Source organism: Homo sapiens, chromosome 9, assembly GCF_000001405.40.
Source record: "Homo sapiens chromosome 9, GRCh38.p14 Primary Assembly".
Classification (NCBI taxonomy): Eukaryota; Metazoa; Chordata; class Mammalia; order Primates; family Hominidae; genus Homo; species Homo sapiens.
This window is the reverse complement of record NC_000009.12, coordinates 92,482,825-92,503,602: the sequence shown is the minus strand read 5'-3', so window position 1 is coordinate 92,503,602 and position 20,778 is coordinate 92,482,825. Positions and strand designations below refer to the sequence as shown.

General features: G+C 39.3%; 2 protein-coding genes across 10 annotated transcripts in view; one reads left to right on the top strand and one right to left on the bottom strand.

The window, feature by feature from the left end:
- The window catches only part of ECM2 (extracellular matrix protein 2), a 65,560-nt gene extending 55,504 nt beyond the window's left edge, over window positions 1-10,056 (top strand). For 5 of the 6 annotated variants that reach the window (XM_047422899.1, XM_024447436.2, XM_024447435.2 and 2 more), the window contains 3 exons: window positions 951-1,090; window positions 2,550-2,876; window positions 7,120-8,288. In XM_047422899.1, the coding sequence (XP_047278855.1) occupies window positions 951-1,090; window positions 2,550-2,876; window positions 7,120-7,288 (636 nt within the window). In that variant the 3' untranslated portion in view covers window positions 7,289-8,288. Of the gene's footprint in view, window positions 1-950; window positions 1,091-2,549; window positions 2,877-7,119; window positions 8,289-9,453 lie in introns of those variants that run through there. The other variant, NM_001197296.2, reaches the window with a different exon arrangement.
- CENPP (centromere protein P) overlaps window positions 1-20,778 on the bottom strand; it is a 295,062-nt gene that overhangs the window by 116,927 nt on the left and 157,357 nt on the right. Inside the window, exon 6 of one of the 4 annotated variants that reach the window (XM_011518689.2) lies at window positions 9,427-9,736. The exons of the other annotated variants lie outside the window; for them this stretch is intronic. Coding sequence (XP_011516991.1) covers window positions 9,722-9,736 — 15 coding nt within the window. The 3' untranslated portion in view covers window positions 9,427-9,721. Of the gene's footprint in view, window positions 1-9,426; window positions 9,737-20,778 lie in introns of those variants that run through there. 4 annotated transcript variants of the gene reach the window in all.

Here is a 20,778-nt window from a genome sequence, read left to right as displayed (position 1 = left end):
ACTCCCTCTAATGCCAACTAAACTTAACTTGAAGGCAGCTAGCTATTAAAAACTTATTAACAGTTCTAGAAAACTTCTCCTTGGTTGTAAATTAAGGCTGTTAATTAACTTTAATTAATTATAACAAAAGCAAATCTAAAAACATGAGCCTAAAATATTATAGACCACATGAAATAGTAGGAAACAGGCAGCCTGGGAGCTGGAGGCTCGGCTAGGACAAGCCCCTCTCAGCATTAGTCATGTAACCACGGGTGGGCTTCCCTGTCTCTCCAGGCCCAACTTAACTCCACTGGTAAGTAGAGATTAAAATATCTGTCTACTTTTCAGAGTTTTTAAGCCCAAATGAGATAATTTATGTGAATAAGTTTTATAAAATAGAGAGCCTTGTATAATTATTTTGGTATGCCATTTCTTGCAACATATTATAGCTAATACATTTTAAATAAAATTCATTTGATTCCATAACCATGGCAGTGTGTTTTATTTTACTAATTAGTTATAAAATTTGACAACTTTCCTGTAATTCCAGCACTTTGGGAGGCCGAGGCGGGTAGATCACTTGAGCTTAGGAGTTCGAGACCAGCCTGAGCAACATGGTGAGACCCTGTCTCTACAAAAAATACAAAAATTAGCCAGGCTTCATGGCGCATACCTGTAGTCTCAGTCACTTGTGGGACTGAGGTGGTAGGATCACTTGAGCCTGGGAGGTCAAGGCTGCAGTGAGCCATGTTTGTGCCACTGCACTCCATCCTGCGTAACAAAGTGAGACCCTGTCTCAAAAAAAAAAAAAAAAAAAAAGACAACTTAAAAATATGAGCTTACTTGAAAGAGCAGTAAGACTCTTTAGATAATACTAATGATAATAGTCTATGTCACTATTTTAGTCTCCATGAAATTGAACGTATCAACTAACACAAAAGAAAAATAATAGTCTTCTCTCTTAATTATAGGAATTATACCTAGAAAATAACCAAATTGAAGAAATAACTGAAATTTGTTTCAATCATACCAGAAAGATCAATGTCATTGTACTACGTTATAACAAAATTGAAGAAAATAGGATTGCTCCTTTAGCCTGGATAAATCAAGAGTAAGTACATGCTACAATTTAAATTTTATTGAACTATTTCTTCCTCTCGCTATTATTAAACAGAGTATGGAAACTGGGAATGGGATAAGTGAGGGAGGTGACGATACTGAAGGGCTCGGAGACAGAATCGTTTCTTAGTGAACCCTTACCCTATCCCCAAAGTGGGCTACTTCATGCAGTTTCCAACCTGTGCGCTGCATGACTGGTGTTAGGATTATTGCAGTAACTACTGTTGTTGTCACCATACTGCATACTGGACACCCTATCATATGCCAAGTGCTGAGCTAGCAAGAACTGAGCCCCAGCTGTCTGACTTCGAGGTCTGCCCACTAGTGGTCAAATGCCACTCTAGCTCTGTCTACCTCACAGGTTGTCAGGAGGTTTGAATGAAGGATTATTCCCCTGCACACAGTGAGAAAGAAATCTGCCATACTCCTTCTCCTCATCATCATTAGGTGGAAGCACCAGGCTCCAGAGCCCAGGCCTGTTCTCCTACACTACACAGCCTTCTTTTCTCCAAACTATTTCTTCACCTCAACTCTTACAAAATAGACTGAAGAATGCTTGGCCTAACAGTGCAGGCCAAAAGTAGACTCTGTCTTCCTGGACAAGAATCAGCAGCCTCTGGCTATAGCTTTCAGTGAAGGGGGAGGGAGTCAGAAGCAAGCCCTGCAGCAAATCCAGCAGACAACTGGGATCTGGGATTGCGTGTCCTGGAACTATGTGCCTAAGTAGCACAGCCTGGGACACGTGTCATTCAGAAGCAGGATGGAGAGGCCAATTGGGCTCAGCAGCATGTGGCACTGAGCCCACTGTAGGCAGAGAAGTCTTCATCAGGTGAAAAGAGGGCGTGGGGCAGAAGCCTTAGGAGACTCAGGTGGGGTTCCTGAAACAAGCCAGTGAGTTCACCACGTTCCCCAGATCTTCTAGATGATTAACAGCATTTTCTAGATTCCCTCAGGCTCGCCTCAAGTCCCAGGTGTGCCAGGTCATCAAATCAAATGTGGAATGAAAATGTAGGGGAAGGGGAACCAAAACAAGCCAAAACAAACCAAACTTCCTTGCTGGAACCAGAGACAACTTTACAGATAGGCATTTAGATGCATGCTGGGATTCACGGGATTTCATTTTGGATTCAACGCATCAACCGTACAGATATTTTAGTCTTTGGGCCTCAGTATTGCCTCTAGGGATATGAGTTTTTCCCTCCTAGTCTTTGATGCTCCTCTCGCATGGACTCACATAGCTGGGAGGCAGTATGGCACCCTGGTAAGGACATGCAGCTTGGTGCAAGAGACTAGGGCTGGCTATACCTGGAAAAGTTCCTATTTGGAATCATCACTACAAACTGGGTGCTTATAGGAAAATGGACCAGCATCGAGACTGGCCTTATCAAAATTTAGAGCTGATGATCACCATCCTGATGTCCCTACCCTGTTTACTTTTTTCTTTGCTGCAGAAATCTAGAATCCATTGATCTCTCCTACAACAAGCTCTATCACGTCCCGTCCTATCTACCCAAGTCCTTGCTGCACCTAGTACTCCTTGGGAACCAGATTGAACGGATCCCTGGCTATGTGTTTGGCCACATGGAACCAGGCCTGGAATACTTGTACCTGTCATTTAACAAACTTGCTGATGATGGCATGGACCGTGTCTCCTTCTATGGGGCATATCATTCTCTGAGAGAATTATTTCTGGATCACAATGACTTAAAATCTATACCACCTGGGATACAAGAAATGAAAGCACTACATTTTCTGAGGCTGAACAACAACAAGATACGGTAAATTTTGGCTTTTTCAAGTATCTGTTTAAATTTTGGTTGGCAAAATATATGATAAAACAACCATGACATGATCTCTGGGATTTACGTTAAGGGAAAAAAAAATGGTGCTAAGGGGTTGGATTAAACAAGATTGGCAAATGTTAGTAATTACCAAAGGTGGATGACAGGTATGTGAGGATTCATTATAAGCTTTTCCTACTTTTGCACATGTTTATAAATTTCCATAGTTAAAACATCTTTTGGTCAGGTGCAGTGGCTCACGCCTGTAATTCCAGCACTTTGGGACGCCAAGGCGGGCGGATCACCTGAGTTCAAGAGTCTGAGGCCAGCCTGGCCAACATGGTGAAACCTCGTTTCTACTAAAAATACAAAACTTAGCAGGGCGTGGTGGTGCGTGTCTGTAATGCCAGCTACTCAGGAGGCTGAGGTGGGAGAATTGTTTGAACCTGGGAGGCAGAGGTTGCAGTGAGCCGGGATGGTGCCACTGCACTCCAGCCTGGGTGACAGAGTGAGACTCCATCTCAAAAAAAAGATTAACAGATTATTATATATAACACTTAGAACTTTAGAGAGAGGTTCAAATGAGTCTTCAAAGCAATAGATTATGTTACTACTCCTACCTCCATGTATAAATAAATAAAACTAATCTATAAAGCATAAAACGTAAATATATGCTAAAATTAAAACTGCTTCTATCTAGTTTTTTCTGAAGTCAGATTTCTGAATACATTTATTAAGACTCACTTTCCCTACTTTTGGGAACACATTTTTCTGCATGTGTTCAGCTTATATACTGAATCATCACTCCTGCCTAGATGGCATGAGTGTCTTGAGAATTAATCCAGAATATTTTGTTAGTAAGGTCTTTATCATTGGCAGTGAGGGAGACAATAACCTTGTTGTTCTGTCCCTGAGAATTATGCCTCTTAGTCTTTCCCCTTCTCTAAAAGTCCAAATAAACTAAATGCCTACAAAGACAAAACAAAAACACAGAAAAGTTCGTGTTTTTAAAGGTACTGGAGGAAGAGATGGGGGTTTGGGAAGACTTTGTAAAATTCAGTTTCAAAATTTTTTGGCAAAAATACTTCACAGGTTGTGCCATATGCTTCATACTGCATTGCATCAGAAGGCGTCTAATGTTTGTCCCACCTTTTTTGATTCTAAAATTGATCACTGGATTGAAGTGGTCACAGCCTGGTATCTCCTAAGACAAATTTACTCCTCCATCATTGAACCAATGGTTTCACTCACAGATGAATGTTGTTTGAATTCTTATTTCATTAGAGGTAACAAAATGATGAATTTCTATTTTTGCCATGCTTCTCATGCTCATTAGCTGGAATTCCTCTGTAAAAAATTTTTTGCTCATCAACTAGGGCTGCTTTGTCACTTTGAAAGGAAAGAAAAAAGCTCAGTTCTTTCCTTTAAACCACCAGTGGGAGTAAGAAGTTGGAGCCTGAATGTTTTTGCTTTATTTTGTTTTAGGGTTCTCTCTTTTTCTGGTGAATCAATATATACTTAGGCTTTCATGTAAGCAGTTATGTTTCAATCAATTGCAGTCATCTGGACAATGGTCGCCATTCAAACTGGCTCTTGTGTCTGCTCACTTGCTTTTGGGCACACGTGGGCCTCAGGCTTACTTTCTGCATTACCTACTGCAGACCTTCCTCCAAAGAGCTTGGCCTCTTTCTTTGGGGAATAGTATTGAGAAGCCCCAAGTGGGAACGAGACGTGGTCCTTTCAATTGTGTTGCTATTGTTTTGAGGCCTTTCAGTGGACTGCCAGGAAATTCCGTATTTTGAAAAGAAAGTAAGTTCAGACTGACATTCCCAAATCAAATTTAACATAATTGAATATTAATTCCTTTTATTAAAACTTGTTTCTCTTACACTGAAAATCTAGGTTCCCAACAATATTAACTTGGATGATCTTACAATATGTAAACAATTGTTTCAAAATGACATCATTATTACTGCTCATAATAAAAGCTTGAAGTTTATTATTTTTTGGTAGCTCTATTTGTCTTTAGGATAAGTTCCACTAAAGAAGTACAGCTGAAATACAGTGGTTTCCTCTGTAATATGTCAACAACTTAATATTCAGACATGTTATTTAGTTTATTTTTGGTTTTTAGAAATTGCTCTTTTCTTTTTGAATTAATATTATTTTTGACTGTGTTAAATATTTTTAATTCCAAAGTCAAAACTGTGTAAGAAGTTGAATTAAGAGAAGTCTTACTTCTATGATTGTCTTTTTTTAATATATATATATTTTCTTTTTACTATACTTTTAGGGTACATGTGCACAACGTGCAGGTTTGTTACATATATATACATGTGCCATGTTGGTGTGCTGTACCCATTAACTCTTCATTTAATATTAGGTATACCTCCTAATGCTATCCCTCCCCCAACGTCTATGATTGTCTTTTATACACTATATGATCCTTCCCATAGGTTAAATTTTTAAATTTCTAGTTTATCCTTCCAGTATTTATTTTTGCAAACAAAAGCCTACATACATATACATATTTCCCCATCCCCATCCATAATTATTATACAAATTATTACACAAAAGGGCAGTTTTCTCTCTATATATGTCTTAGTCCAATTCTGATGCTATAAAGTAATGCCCAAGGCTGGGTAATTTATAAAGAGAAAAGGTTTATTTGGCTCATGGTTCTTCAGGCTGTGCAAGTAGCACGGCACTGGCATCTGCATCTGGTGAGGGCCTTCAGGCTGCTTCCACTCATGGTGGAAGGGGAGATGGAGTGTGTAGAGATTACATGGCAAGAGAGGAGGCAAAAAAGAATGGGGAGGTGCCAGACTTCTTTTTTTTTTTTTTTTTTTAAACAACCAGCTCTTATGGGAATTAATAGAACAAGAACTTACTCACTCCCCTGATCCTAGAGAGGATATCAATCTATTCATGAGTGACTTGCCCCCCATGACCCAAACACCTCCCATTAAGCACCACCTCCAACACTGGGGATCAAATTTCAACATGAGATTTGGAGGGGTCAAAAAAACCAAACCTTATGGGGTATGTGTATTTTTTCTACCCTTTTTTTCTTTTTTCTTTCTTTCTTTTTTTTTTTTTGAGACAGAGTTTTGCTCTTGTTGCCCAGGCAGAAGTGCAACGGCGTGATCTCAGCTCACTGCAACCTCGACCTCCCAGGTTCAAGCAATTCTGTTGCCTCAGCCTCCCAAGTAGCTGGGATTACAAGGATACGCCACCATGCCCAGCTAATTTTGTATTTTCAGTAGAGACGGGGTTTCTCCATGTTGGTCAGGCTGGTCTTGAACTCCTGACCTCAGGTGATCCACCCACCTTGGCCTCCCAAAGTGCTGGGATGACAGGTGTGAGCCACCACGCCCAGCCTACCCTTTACTTTTTAAAAGTATCAGTATATCACTCCCCATCAGTATGTAGAGAATTTCTTCATTCCTTTTCACAACTGAATATTATGCAGATATACTATATTTTATTCAATCAGTTCCGTATTGATAGACATGTGTTTCCACTCTTACTACTAAAAATAATGCCACAAAAGATAAGTTTGTATAAATGTCATTTTGTTTTTTTCCAGTTTAACTTTGGGATAAAATCCTAGGAGTGGGAATGCAGAGTGCAAAGGGTAAAGTGTGTATGTAATTTTACTAGATATTGCCAAATTCCTCTCCAGAGGTGGCGCACCATTTTGCATTCTCTTCAGTGGTATTTGATCGGTCCAGGCTCACTATTAGAATATGTTAATGAGCTTCTGGATTTTTTTTTTTTTTTGCAAACCTTATAAATAAAAAGTGGTATGCCAGTAAAGTTTCAATTTACATTTCTCTTCTGAATGAAACTGAGCATTTTCCATTTTCCTCCTAGATTCTTAGGAAGCCTTTGTATCTGCGATATAAGTTACTTTCTCCTTCTTTGTCATGTTGTTTAACTTTGCACTTTCTTTTTAAAACCTGCAGTAAATTTTAAATCTTTTCATTCAGTGCTTCTGGTTTTCAAATCACATACAGAAAGAATCTCCCGAGTCAGAGGGTGTGACCACAGTCTGTTCTAGTGCTTCTATGGCTTCATCTTTCACATTTGAATCTCTGACGTAGTTGGAATTTATTCTGGTCTATAAGGATCCAACTTTATTTTAAGAACAAAATTTTTTTAACAAATGTTAAACTTAACTCCTAAAGGCAGATTATTACTGGGACCATGTGTGACTTGCATGTCTATTTTTCCTTAGGAACATTCTTCCAGAAGAAATTTGCAATGCTGAAGAGGATGATGACTCAAATCTGGAACATCTTCATCTTGAAAACAATTATATTAAAATTAGAGAAATACCATCTTACACATTTTCATGCATAAGATCATACTCAAGTATCGTTCTTAAACCACAAAACATCAAGTAATTCCAAGTTTTCCTTTGCTGTTTATAAACTTTACTCATGTATTTGTAGTAGCTGCATTTGTCATTAATAAGAGAGACATAATCCTCCTGTTATACTCAGTATCATTATATGCTAGTCAACCTGATTCACTAACACACAGATGAACAACCAAAATATACCTAAAAGGTATAGTCTCTAGGAGTTTTATTAATAGTAAAGGTAAAATCTCTCAGTTTCCTACCTCTAGAAAGAGGCCATCTCACTAGAATAGGATATTATGCATACTGAGCTAGACCAGAAGAGTCTGGAACAAAATAAACACAGCCTTTATAATCAACTTGAATACTGGTGTTAGCTGAGAACTCTGTAAGTCCCTTTAAAAATTATGTATCTTTTGGTTCAAGATTAAGAAGCATAATGACAACAAAAAAAGCAGGCAGAATTTATGAATAAGTGTTGTTTATTATTAAAACAATAATTTGTTAATTTCTTATAAGGTCCTGTGCTATAATTACTGGTATAAATATAACTGAATATTGGGGTAGCTTTCATTTCTTCCATTAATTACATGTGTAAAATTAAAACACTACTGTAATGTTAATTTCCTGGTTTTGAAAATCATATTATGGTTATGTACATTGTTAACATTAAGGAAAGCTGGCAGAAGGGTGTGCATAAATTCTATACTCTTTTTGAAACTTTTCTATAATTCTAAAATTATTTTTTAAAGTTAAACAGTATATTAAGATTACCTTCACTATTCCTCACTCAAGATTAAGACATTTTTTGAAAAGCAGTAGAGTTTGCTTAAAATACAAATTAATTATTCTTGACTATAACCTTGTAAAGGTAAATCTAATGTATAAATTTTTGAAAAATTTTGCACCACTGGTCATAGCATCTATCTCCTTTGCCTTAATTTACTGAAATACATCATTTTATTCGGTTCAATTGAAATAAAGCTATGTCTTTACTATGTATTGGCCCTACCAAAATCATATATTAAAATTTTCTAACATAATGATTTTTATCTTTGTATTGCTAAAGTAATTTATAAGACACATATAGAAACTATGTTGACTTCTTTTGTTACTCTCAGTTTTATGTCTTGGCTAGGAACTTAAGTGCCAGTGTTGGCCTCATTGCATAGGTTTCTCTAATTTTTTAAGCTTTAGTTATTTAATCATTTAATAGTTCTTTCACCACTCTAGGAACCTTCCATCCCCACTTCACAAAGCTATTATAAGAACTAGAAAAGAATGTAAAGCATTTTGGAAAGTATGGTGTGGATGATGAATGCAGTTATTATCTCATATAAAACTGAGAGGAACCAGCATAGCCAACCACAATTGACAATTTCATGGGTGACTTTCAGTTTCATGAGTGTGAAAAGTTTGACTTATTCCATAATGTTATTATTATTATTTTTTTAGACGGAGTGTCACTCTGTCGCCAGGCTGGAGTGCAGTGGTGCAATCTCGGCTCACTGCAACCTCTGCCTCCTGGGTTCAAGCGATTCTCCTGCTTCAGCCTCCTGAGTAGCTGGGACTATAGGCATGCGTCACCACTCCCCGCTAATGTTTGTATTTTTAATAGAGATGGGGTTTTACCATGTTGGCCAGGATGGTCTCAATCTCTTGACCTTGTGATAAGACCGCCTCGGCCTCCCAAAGTGCTGGGATTATAGACATGAATCACTGCACCAGGCAAGACTTATTCCATAATGTTACTTCTAAGCCTACTTTCTTAATAGGTAGGATTCAGAGATTATAACATGAACAACAATAATAATATGAAGATAACTGTTAGACTCAAGAGTCAAAGACTTATAGCAGGTTGTTAGGAAGAAAACTAGAATTTTATGGAACAAAAGTTGAGCTTCATAATCAGTTTAGGAATGAAGGTGCATTACTAATTTTAAAGTGGCCAGGTTGACTTTAAGAGACAGGTAAAAACAAGAAGATAGGGTTACACATCCATTTAACAACCCTTGTGCAACACTTATTGATGTATGAATATAAACACATTGACATAAATGGTTTAAGGCAATCTAAGCTGTAAACAAAATTAGTATTAAAGGGGGCTCAAACTGAATAAGGTGAGTCAGCAGAACTAGCATCTTGGGATGACACAGAGACAGATACTAAACGATTCATTCATTCATTTCTTACTCTGACTTTATTCAGCTGTGTTTCAGATGCTGTTCTAGAGACAGTGACAAACAGATCAGATGTGGCCTTTCCTCTCTGGTAGAGGCAATAAGCAGGAAATCAAACAGACAAGTAAGCAGGCAAGTGCTGTGCAGTCAGAAAAATGGGTGACAATGCGACGAGCACACTGGGGCCTGAGGGCCGCCAGGAGACTACGGCCACCCTCAACGGCCTGGATTAACAGCAGATCCAGACCGGTGCCTGTGGAGCAGACGCACTGTGGGCTTGCTGTGTATGTCGCTTCTCAACTCTGCTCTGGCTGCAGAATCCCAAGAAAAAAATGAAAATCAGAATGACTGATTGAAGCTTTTTTCTTAAGTGGAAGTTGTACTTATTTCTACTGATTTTATAATTTTTAAAATATGGCTAGCATGGAACTTGTTCAGCCCTGAAATTTCATGATGTTCTAGATGGGAAGTTTTAATTCCATAAAAAAGTGATAAATGTCCTTATAGCAAACACTCTTCACAATATAATGTACTAAAAAACAGATGTTCTGTTTGGCTTCAAAAATTACACTATAATTACTAACACACATATACACTAAAGAAGTCCTGGTCTAGCCATGATCTAAAAATATTAATGGTGTGTCTTGTCTTTGTATATATATACAAGGAACAGTATAATTTTGAGATTTGGCTTATTATCAATAAGAATATTATAAGCAGCACTAAAGAAATTATTTAGTGAAAGACATACAGAACCTGGTATAATGAAATAACTACACCAGGAACCAAGAGACTTGGGAGCCCATCTTGTTCTTCAATAATTATGCAGTCATTTTACTTCTTTGGGATTCATTTGATTCAATTATAAAATAACATGTTTGGAACAGATCAGTGGTTTTCAGACAGGGTTCATTAGGGGTTTCATGTCACTGATAAGGAAGTGAACAGACCTCTCTCTTCAAACAAAGCAGCTTTGCTCTCATCAGAAAGTGTTCACTCCCATCCCCCTTTTCTTCTTACAATCAACAAACTAGGTACTATCTAAATGACACACTAGGTTTTAAAATCCATCAAGAACATGCAGCCTTCTCTTCCCTTTCTCCAGCTCCAGCTACATTCCTGGAGCATCCAGGCTGAAGAGGCTTGGCCTTAGGAAGAGGCTGCCTGTTTTTCCTTCTGAGCACCAGTGCAGTGGGGTGAGATTAGCCCTGAGCAGACTGCTGGGCCCCTGACCGCCTTAAATGGCTAGTCGACAAGCTTCTGTAGGAACGAGCACAGTGCTGCAAGCTCACCAACCTCCTTGCAGGGCAGGTGATGATGCTGGGGCTCAGTGAGGGCAGGTGGCACATGAGAACAACAGGGAATATGTGGCTGAGTCTGGACTTCCCCTGCATCTTCTGACTCTGAGGCTGGTGCTCCTCCTGCTGAACCAAGCTGTCTCTCCCTTAGAATTTGGATGGAAAGTCTAGGGGACCCAAGAGTGGCAGGCTGCCTAATAAAAGGTCCGAACCTGGGCGGCTGATGCTCAACCGGAGGGTATAGGGCATGTGGTATGGCAGGTGTTACCAACGAGGGGAGAAAGATACTCAAAACCACCTCTCCTTCAAATGGCATCATCAAATGGCTCCACGTACATCTCCTTAGAAGCCATTCTCATTAAGTCAAAGTTAATTACTCCGTAAGATGACTGCTTTCATTAAAACACAAAGAAACTACCCACAATGTTGTACAGTTGAAATATGCACAGTGTCCTCTAGTTGTCACGGACACCTCCAGGGGTCATCAAGACGATTATTCCCACTCACACATAATTATTCCAGTAACTGTTTAATAATATGTAGTATAAATCTTTAAAGTGACTTGGAAATGTTAACAAATTATGACAATGTTTGTTTTAAGATTATTTTAGACTCGGCATAAGTATATGAAAATTTAAGCCACAAATTACAGGTATATAGCTAAAGGATAAAACCCCAAATTTTTGGCAGCATATTTGTGTTAGGCATAGTGCTTCAGGCAAAAATGGTTTCTCTAATTTTACTAATTTAGGTGGGGAGTAACAGAAGATGACTGTGATATAATACAGGATATAATTAACACTAAACCATACAACACATACACGTAGTTCAGAGGAGAAAGATCAATGGACCTTGAAACAGGAATGTGAATCAGTGAGGGAAGCAGATGGAGGGACTCACGTCTGGGCTTATTGGTCAGGAGTCTAGCCTCACTATGGCAGGAAAGGAGAGGCAAGACGAGGGCTCCTCAGGCCAGGAATTAGACCAGATTCAAGGCGATGAGAAATGCAGCATACCACTGAAAAATGCTGAAGCAAGAAGTGTTCCATGAAAGCAGCAGTTTAAGAAAGGAAAAAGAATTACTCACTGCAAAAATCTAGAGAGTGAGAGCCTTCACAGCACAGATACGAGAGACATCAAAAGGAATTCAGTGAATAGTTATCTTGTCAGATAAGGGGCACACAGAAAAGGGACCAAAGAAGAAACTGCTCTGATTCTCATAATGCTGCTAAGAAGTTGAGAGCCAGGGGCCATCTGTGAGAGAATGCTGAACTTGGGGTGTCACCATGGGGGTCAGGCAAGACAAGGAGAGGACAGTAAAGACGGGAAGGTATGAGGTCAAAGCTGAATGCACAGGCAAGGAGTATACCTGAAGGGGCCTACAAGAGAAGGGCAGTTGAGCCAATCTCTGATGGGCTCCGATCCTCAACTTCAAGGGAGGGACACAGAAGCCAAGTTCACTGCAGTGTCCATCTGACTTGAGCCTTTCACCTTACAGAGCCAGCTTCCAAGCACAGGATGAACTGCACCTAAAAGCCTAGCTCCTCAGGACCCCCAGCCCCACAAAACCCCCGCTATTCAGTGCCTGTGCCGCTACCCAGGACAGATCTGGTATTATTAGGTAGGTCTGTAGTGATTATCTCTTTAGTGTTATTAGTTAGGTCCTACATAATGATTATCTGGAATTATTAGTTAGGTATTGATTACTTTTTTGTGTATATGGGTGCTGTACAGTAGCTGGGTTGAGCGGTATAGCTTGTTTCTCCAAAAAGACTGTAAAACTTAACAGAGACAACTCATTTCTTAAACCCCTGAATTTGTGCAAAGTAGGTGCTAAAACGTCTCTTGAATAAAGAGTTCCATCTCCTTTATCTCCCAGTCAAAACTGGTTCAGCTTATGAGTTATATTACCCAAAGAGTTGATATTATCCAAAGTTGACATTACTCCTAAATAAAAAAGAAAGGAACCTGCAAAATTTAAGGATTTTCACAGAAAAACTTAGAAACTGAGCAGAAAAAGATTTATACAGGGTCACAAAAGTAAAAGGGAATCATTTATGTTATTAACATTTCTGACAAGGACCTCAGAAAGCTAAGTAAATTTTTTAAACAATTAAGTTATGCTTTGACAACTGGTAATACTTAGTAATCAATCTGATTGCTCTGCATAATAGCAACACTGACTATGCCTTCCAAAGCCATCATTTAAACATACCATAAATTACTATGTTCCTAAGATGCTGACTTAAAAGAATGAAATACTCAAATTCTGCTGTTGAAGTGAAACTTCCAAAGGGCGGAGTAAAACCCTTTATGATATTGATTCCACCTCTTTCCCTTATTTAGAAAAAGGATAGAAAATGTCCTCATGGCAGAAACATTTACAGACTGACAGATGACTGAACTATTTATCTATCCATGGTTGAACGTAAATTCAGATCCTTGATAGACTTAAAATTCAAAAATATTAAAAGTACCCATGAAAAGAAGTTTCTGCCCAGCTCTAACTTAACACCAAATGACCATTACAGGCCTTAAGCCCCCAAAGTCTGTGAAACATGGAGATTCATCTCTTGTAGTTAAAAAAACAATAATGAGTATCTTGGCTCTCAACTAGAATCAGTACTAGCCATGGACCTGGCCAAGTTACTTAGAGTTCTAGTTTCTTCGTGCACAAAATCAGGAAACAACATCTGCCTCCCAGGGCTGATGGGAAGACTAAACAAGTTGATATCCTGTGGAGGTGCTGGGCACAGGGTAGACATAATAAAGGTGAGTGTCAATGTTTCCAGGGACAGACTACAGGAAACTGGTGAGCAGGAAGTTACTTAACTCGCTCAAGGCTTCCAGGCCTCTGAGTGTGGTGAATATTAATTATTTAAAATAACTGATTTCTTAGATTGGTATTGAATATAGTGGAAAAAGGAGTGGGTCTAATACACTAAGACAGGGCTCTGCACACATGCTCTGTAAAGGGCCAGAAGTAAACCCCTTGGACTCTGTGGGCCAGTGGGGGTCCAGCGGGGACCCTGCAGCCTTGGCAACAGCGTGGCTCTCCTGAGGAGTAGGTGGGAAATTAACAACAAAACCTGAGTTTGACTGCCTTTCTTCTGTGTTACTGTATGATCATGTCCATGGCACGGAACAGAGTGAACCATGGTATACACGAACATCTGAGCAGGATCTCCAGGCTGAGGGAGCCAAGTGGGTGAGGAAACTGGAACTCAAAGAGTGTAAATGACATCTCATCATAAGATTAAAAAAAAAAATCCTGACCATAGGAAAGACAATTAAGTTTGATCTGTGTGATTCACTGTGATTACTTATAATACCTAAAAAGGGGGAAAATTGTATTTAAAACAGTCAGCCAAACTAGAGAAGTATCTGATCAATGAGCCTGTCCTATAAATGAATTCTTCCCTTAGAAATAACCGCTGAATGAGTCACCAACAGTATAGCAAGACAGTCTGCACTGGCAAACCCAGGCCTTTCCATCTGTAGCCCACATAGCAAACTTTGGGCAGAGGCTTCCCTAGCAAGTTTGTTCCTTTCCTATTCATTTCTGGCCCTACGACCATCAGCTCAATTGAAACTAGTCCAACAGAATCAGAGGCATTTGTAAAAGGTTTTCAGAGGAAAATCTACTGTAAACTGTGTAATCCTGAATTAGTCCATGTTTGATTCTACATGTCTTAAATAAGGCTTCAGCTTATGACATGTCTACAAGGTGAACAGGAGCATTCGAGACTGTAAGCCCGGCTGGATTTCAGTCTGTCACATACTGTTATTTGTAAAGGAATAAATGTTCTAAACTCAGTAAGTAAACTTTAGTGGTGATACAACTAAATCATAAAGGCATGACCATTTCTTCTGTGAAGTTATGTTCCCTTTTCTGTATGAAAATGGATAAAATCAAAACTTAGTCTAGCATATTTTTTCCTTTGTATAAAATGTGAAGAATGTGAATCCACACAAGGGAAAGCAGGACTGTATTAAAAATAACATGTGATTACACTAAATACATATTAGTTTGGAAAAGAAAAGGAATACATCATGTTATTAAAATGTCCTGGTGTGTTTCTAAGTAACAGAATCTCTGTGGTCAAATAAACTTACATTAAACTATCAATTGATATAAGCAAATCTTTTTATAAGTTGTAATCTGCTGAAGGTTCATTGTTTTGCCTAAACTGGGAATTACATTCACAAACATCAAATTTATATGTGAATCATTTGGAAAGTGAATTTAACTAGTATTGTGACACTAGGAATAAAGAATACATTATAAACTGTAAATCTATTCTAGGGCAGCAGTTCTTAACTATTTGAAGGATGGACCCCTTAGAAAATATGGTGAAAGCTATAATGGATCCTCTATGCAGAAAAATACATAGATAAAAACACTTGGCATGTATCAAAAGACTCATAAAGTCTTTCCACAAATTCTCTAAGTATTCATATACCCAAGTTAAGAATCCCTGTCTAACGTAACATCTTAATTAACTTAAAATAAATTTGGCGGTAAATATTTCACTAGAGTGAAGGATAAATCAAAGAGTTAAAGTTAATTTAAGGCAAACTGCCTTATCTGCTCCAATTATTTAGCATTTATTCCCCCTTTATTTGGTAATATTTTCAAGGCCACAGAAAAGTTTAAGTTCACAATGAGCATCTACATACCCTTCACTTATATTCACCAATGAATAATACAGATGTTCCCTGACTTATGATGGGTTACACCCTGATAAACCCACCGTAAGTTGAAAATATCATAGGTCAAAACGCATTTAATACATCTAAACTTTATCTAATGTCATAGCTCGGCCTAAGCTAGATACATGTGCTCAGAATACTATATTATTCTTCAGTTGGCAAAATCATCTAACACAAAGCTGATTTTATAATAAAGTGCTGACTAGCTCAAGTAATTTACTGAATGCTGTACTGAAAGTGAAAAACACAATGGTTGTATGGGTACTCAAAGTACAGTTTCTTGCTATCGAGCAAACTTTCACTTAATGGTTTTATATGTTTATTTATTTTTTGAGACAGGGTCTGGCTTTGTCACCCAGGCTGGAGTGCAGTGGTGTGATTGCTGAAGCCTCCACCTCCCAGCCAAAAGTGATTCTCCCACCTCAGCCTCCCCAGTAGCTGGGACTATAGGTGTGTGCCACCATATATAGGTGTGTGCCACCATGTCTGTTCTATTTTATTTTTTGTAGAGACAGGATCTCACTGTGTTGCTGATGCTGACTTAATTGTTTTAGCTTCCCTTGATTATCTTTCCTTAAATCAATTATTATATTGGAGGTTTCACTGTGGTGATTTTCTGTTATTCCTTCTGCATTCATTAGTTGACATTCTTCTGTAAGGAAAAACTCTGATCCTTTTAACCCTCTTTTCTCTGTTATTATAAAAAGGATTTAGTATTGTATGTGTTATAATCCAGTTTTTATTCTTTTTGAGATGCTCAAACTGCCCCTTCATGGTGGCTTCTATGTTCCTTTTCTGAGTCCTTGGTAAACTCTGCAAACTTTCACACTTCTTGGTACAAGAAAGCTTTTTCAGAAACCTTTACTTCTCTGGCCCAGACCTGTTGTGGGCCATTTCTCCAAGGAGTCCTGGTTCCCTTAGTGGGAAACAGTATTTAGAAACACAGATCTGGAAACCAGATGTGCTCACTGCTCTCAGGTCTGCTCAGTGGAAAGAGGTAAGAAATTTATTTAAAACAAAACCATTACTTGTACAGATTCCTCAAAGCAAACTGACTTCAGACATTCATTAAAAATATTTGACACAGCTGGGTGTGGTGGTGCACACCTGTAATCCTAGCGCTTTGGGAGGCCGAGGCGAGCAGATCACCTGAGGTCAGGAGCTCCAGACCAGCCTGGCCAACATGGCAAAACCCCATCTCTGCTAAAAATACAAAAATTAGCCAGGCGTGGTGGCCTGCACCTGTAATCCCAGCTACTCAGGAGGCTGAGGCAGGAGAATTGCTTAAACCCAGGAGGTGGAGGTTGCAGTGAGCTGAGATTGTGCCACTGCCCTCCAGCCTGGGTGACAGAGCAAGACTCCGTCTCAAAAAAAAAAAAAAAAATTGACACATGCAAAATATAATAAACAAAATTGTATAAGTCCTTCATTTTTCATAAATTCAACGGAATGAACATTTAGTGACAATTTATTATAATTCATTTTTCAGAACTAGAAACTTCAAGTAGGATGACAGAGTGAGCTCAGCCACATGACACAGCAGAAGCCAGTCCCTGCAACAGGAAGAGCTGTGAGGAGAGGGTAAGAGGAGGTCAGGGCAGCAGAGAACCATGGAGGGCCTACGTGCTCAGCAAATTGCTGCTACATAGGACATCAGGGTCAGTTTTTCCAGCTCATATTTTTCCAAATACATTGTAAATTTGGACTTCGATATCAAATGTCCTGGTTTTTAAAAATACTATATGCTCCAAACAATCTGCATGTTGAATACTGCCCCTGGGTCACAACCTACAGTATAAAATAAGTTCATTAGAAACCGAAGTGCCTAGTCCACCATGAGGGACACTTGAACATTAAAACTCATGAAATCTTAATCACTTATCCCTTCACAGAAGCTTTTTTAAGCATCTACTATACAAAAAACCCTATGTTATGCATATTTACATCCTAGAATTCAGTGGCCTAGAACATTCTTAAAGTGGGTGTTTGCATGGCACGGCTAACTCCCTCACAGCCCTCAGGTCTTGTGACTGTCACCTGACAGGGAGGGCACCCTTGACACCCCCACCCCTATCCTGCTTCTCTCCATAGCACTTACACTATTTGTTGAATGAATGGATTGGTGGACGGCCTTTCTTGTAGCTACTACTATAAAAGAACATTGTACAATCTATTCCAATTCATTTAGAATGTGAAGGACACCACAGACTGGCAAAAGAACATCAGAAAATTCAAACTGCCTACTTTTTTGGCAGGTGTGTGTGTGCCCCACAATATACTCCTGACACATGCTGCTCCTATAGCTCCTGCCTCACCTATCAAACCTTTTCATTTGGGCTGTGTGCAGGTGGTTCCCACCTGTAATCTCAGCACTTTGGGGGGCCGAGATGGGAGGATTGCTTTAGCCCAGGAGTTTGAGGTATGATTGTACCACTGCACTCCAGCATGGGTGACAGAGTGAGACTCTGTCAATCAATCAATCTTTTATTTGCATGAGACAGTTTCCAAGGTCCTCCCCTGTTCTTATTTGTGTTTGGACTTTGACCACTGTTGTCCATGTCTAGACCAGGAGAAGTTCTAGAAAGGGTGTGAGAAATCATACGAGAGCTTAGATTAGGCAATTTATTTTTATTTTCACGATGGTTAGCATATATAAGGCCAAAGGAAAATAAATTTGCATTAAAGTTCCTTTTATGGCAATCAATATTTTTATTCATAAACTGTCAGTACTGAGAATATTACTTTTTCAATTTTGTAATTTATCTTTGTGTTTGCAACATGTAAATTACTTGTGATTCCTAAATATACTGTTATAATGCAACTAGTTCTTCAATATTTAGACTAAGGCTCAATGAGGCAAAAATAAAACAATTTAAAAAGCATGGAGAAAAGAACTAGGTCCCCTCCATAGGACCCCTTTAGGAAACAAAAATGGAAGATTTTTCTCTTCACAATACTTGAGGGAAGAAGAGGTACACTGTTTCATTTGGAATGATAACCTGGAAAAGGGTGGAGATAAACTCCAGTTTCTTCCCAGATGGCACGTTCGTGCCTGCTGCACCATCTCTGGCAAATGTGAGGCAAAGCTTTCCATGTCACAGCCCCAAGATGGTGGAGGGTTGTGCCTGAGGCCTGCACCTTTACCACATTATCTGCAGAACAGAGTGAATAAGCCAAATATACTACCCCTAACCCCAGCATCTTATTCCAGGGCCTATTTCTTTCCCTAGGCCCTCTGACCAAAGATCGAAGCAAAATATCAGAGGAAGACTAGCTTAAGTCTCACAGTGGGGAGAAGGAAAAGTAGCTGTAACATATCTTTAGAAACACAATCTTACAGGAACTGCCTCTCAACTCTCTAGATATGGGAGGCAAAACTGCACCCAGAAAGGCCATGCAGGCAACTCGACTGAGGAGTGCCTTGGGTGGGTGACGTGGACAACATCCTGTGAGTATAGAAGAGAAAAACACAAGTCCCAGAGACAACAGTTGCCATGCAAAACCAGAAATCACAGACTGGGAAAGCCTAATTTTTAAAGAGAAGTTGAAATCTTATTTTTAAATACAGCAATTTCACCTAACAAAAATACATACACATGACCCCCAAATGACAGACTGAGGAACGTTCATAGTACCTCTCCAAAAGGTAATTAATCTAGTTGAATATATAAACAATTTGTGGCTTATTCATGTATGAGAATACTATACAGTGACAAGAATGAACTACTGTGTATCACAATGACACGAATGGATCTCAAAAGCATGTCACTGAATGAAAAAAGCCAGATGCAAAAGAGAATGCACAGTATGATTCCATTTATATAAAGTTCAGGAAATAACCTATGGTGCTGAACTCAGGCTGTGACTTGAGGAGTAAGAGGAGGGATTCTGGATGTATGAGAATGGAGTGTGAGGCTGGGATTTCTTGATTGGGGTCATTTTGTAAAAATTAATTGAGTTGTACCATTATGATATGTTTTTTTTTGGTAACATACACTTCAATAAACAGTTCAGAAACAAAACATTGTGCAGGACAAACTGAATTTGACCCAAGGGCTTCCTGTTTATGACTGTGTTCTGAAGGAATTTAGGCAAACACTAGATGCTCTGGATACAAAGATTTTAAAAATCCAGTTCATATTTTCATTATGTTCCCAATTCATCCAGTTAACAGATACATTTGCAACTGAAATATACTTGAATAAATGAGAATATGAGCATTCTAAACCAAACAGGAGGGCCGTCATTCCCTAAGGTGCTGCAGGGCTAGGATGGGGCCTGAGTTACAGAGGGCCACTAATGGGACTACCGAGCTGCCTGGAACTGTCAGCCTAGAGGTCCAAGGAGGAGTACTTTATTTAAGTGAGGGGAGGATGAACACATAGCCAGCTGCTATGCACATCTGAGGCACATGTATTCTTTAGGACTGTAGCTGCCTTGCTTAACACAATGTGTGCCATTTCTCTGGAGAGAGGGAACAAACGATGGTCAGACTCTTGATGACAGTAGAGAACAGGTCTTCTAACCCACTGGAAAAGCTCTTTGCTGGCCTCCAAATCTATACAACAGTTGGGAAGAACCATTGGGGTCACTTACAACAGTAAGTCCTTGCCACTAGGGTTAGAAAACTGTCCTCTCAGGCCGGCCATGGTGGCTCATGCCTGTAATCCCAGCACTTTGGGAGGCCGAGGCGGGCAGATCACGAGGTCAGGAGATCGAGACCATCCTGGCTAACACAATGAAACACTGTCTCTATTAAAAAACCAAAAAATTAGCCAGGCGTGGTGGCGGGCGCCTGCAGTCCCAGCTACTCGGGAGGCTGAGGCAGGAGAATGGCGTGAACCTGGGAGGCAGAGCTTGCAGTAAGCCAAGATTGCGCCACCGCACTCCAGCCTGGGTGACAGAGTGAGACTCCGTCTCAAAAAAAAAAAAAAGAAAACTGTCCTCTCTTGAAGGTCTTAGTTGATGTAGAATTGGGCAGTCTCTTGGGGATGAGTGGAAAGGGGGTACAAATAATGATTTATTTTCAGGAAATAGCATCTTCCCTGCTCTAAGTCTCCCTAAATGTCAGTGAGGCCATAGCTAATATTCTCTTGAAAAGGGAAAGTTGTATGCATCCTAAGAGGGTGTTACTTGGACATGCATGTGTGTCTGTGTTATATCACATATGTTGAGTCCAGGGAGCAGTTCATGGAGCCTCATCCATAGTTTCCCTGACATGCTATAGCAGTGCTAAAAGCTTAAAAAAAAAAAAAAGTCTGGAGAAGTATGCATAATGCAATAGCTACAGTCATTAGAAGAAAAAAAAAGTATGGTTCTTTCTCAGGTACATCTGAAGTTTG